General features: G+C 42.2%; 1 pseudogene; it reads left to right on the top strand.

Annotated features, from left to right (window-relative positions):
- On the top strand, window positions 737-1,386 carry SETP7 (SET pseudogene 7; annotated as a pseudogene).
- The last annotated feature ends 379 nt before the right edge of the window (window positions 1,387-1,765 follow it).

Here is a 1,765-nt window from a genome sequence, read left to right on the forward strand (position 1 = left end):
AGCACTTAAACTAATTCAACTGAAATCAAGGAATAAGAAATGAAATATAGCATCCTCAGGAGAGAAACCAGGAACTGAATTGTTGGAATCCAGGCACATGTGCCATCTCCCAGGAGCTACTGAATCTATCTTACAGCATCCTGTCTGTTTCTCTGTGCACATTTTTCCTTCTCTACACAGTGCAGACTGATCTCAGCTTTCTTCAGTTCCCTTCTACCTCTCACTATTTCCGACTCTGGACCTTTCTACACTCCAGCCTTTCCATAGGAAGTACTCCGGGTTAGTTTTTCTGTGTCCTAGTGCCATGTTCCTGGGAGAAGAACTGGATCAACTGAGCTTAGATCCAGTGTTCATCCATGGTCCAGTGATTTGTGACCAGGATGTGAGACTGGACAAATGACATAAACATGGCTCCAGGCCCACCGTTTCAGCCCTGTATGGGGATGATTCCTAGAGAGAGGGCCTTCAGGAGAGCAGACACCCCAAAACATATGAGCTGCAAGCACCTAGCTTAAGTAGGAGCACAACAAATATTAGCTTCCATCCCTCCCCACTCTCCTAATTCTAGAAGAGCAGGTTTCCATAAGGAGCCCATACACAAGCACAATTGTTCTATATTTTTACCTTTGCTTGGGCTATACCTCTTATTAAGAATATCCTATTTTCACCCAAGTACTAACCAGGCCTGACCCTGCTTAGCTTCTCAGATCAGACAACATCAGGTGCGTTCAGAGTGGATGAAAATCCTTACTTTGAAAGTAAAGTTCTCTCCAAAGAATTCCATCTGAATGAGAGTGGTGATCTATCTTCAAATTCCACCGAAATCAAATGGAAATCTGGAAAGGATTTGATGAAACGTTCAAGTCAAATGCAGAAGAAAGCCAGCAGAAAGAGACAGCATGAAGAACCAGAGAGCTTCTTTACCTGGTTTACTGACCATTCTGATGTAGGGGCTGATGAGTTAGGAGAGGTCATCACAGATGATATCTGGCCAAAACCATTACAGTACTACTTGGTTCCCGATATGGATGACGAAGAAGGAGAAGGAGCAGAAGATGATGATGATGATGATGAAGATGAGGAAGGATTAGAAGATATTGATGAAGAAGGGGGTGAGGATGAAGGTGAAGAAGATGAAAATGATGATGAAGGGAAGGAAGGAGAGGAGGATGAAGGAGAAGATGACTAATAGAACACTGATGGATTCCAACCTTCTCTTTTAAAAATTTTCTCCAGTCCCTGGGAGCAAGTTGCAGTGGTTTTTTTTTTTTTTCCTCCTGTGCTCAGTCGCCCTGTTCTTGAGATCTCTTTTCTCAACTTATTTTAGGGGAAATACCTTGAGCAGAATACAATGGGAAGAGTCTCTACCTCTTTCTGTTCGAAATTCATTTTTATTGCTTACTATCTGAATAAAAACTGTATGGAATCAACACTACTGAGCTCTGTGGGAAAAAAGAAAAACCTGCTCCCTTCGCTCTGCTGGAAGCTGGAGGGTGCTAGGCCGCTGTGTAGTAGTGCGTATAATTCTAGCTTTTTTCTTCCCTTCTCTGTATGTTGGGCTCAGAGAGTACACTGTGTCTCTATGTGAATATGGACAGTTAGCATTTACCAACATATATCTGTCTACTTTCTCTTGTTTAAAAAAAAAGAAACTTTAAAAAATGGGGTTATAAAACGTCAGCAAAGGGTGGGTTTGAGATGTTTGGGTGGGTTAAGTGGGCATTTTGACAACATGGCTTCTCCTTTGGCATGTTTAATTGTGACA

The sequence above is a fragment of the Homo sapiens genome, chromosome 12, assembly GCF_000001405.40.
Source record: "Homo sapiens chromosome 12, GRCh38.p14 Primary Assembly".
Lineage (NCBI taxonomy): Eukaryota > Metazoa > Chordata > Mammalia > Primates > Hominidae > Homo > Homo sapiens.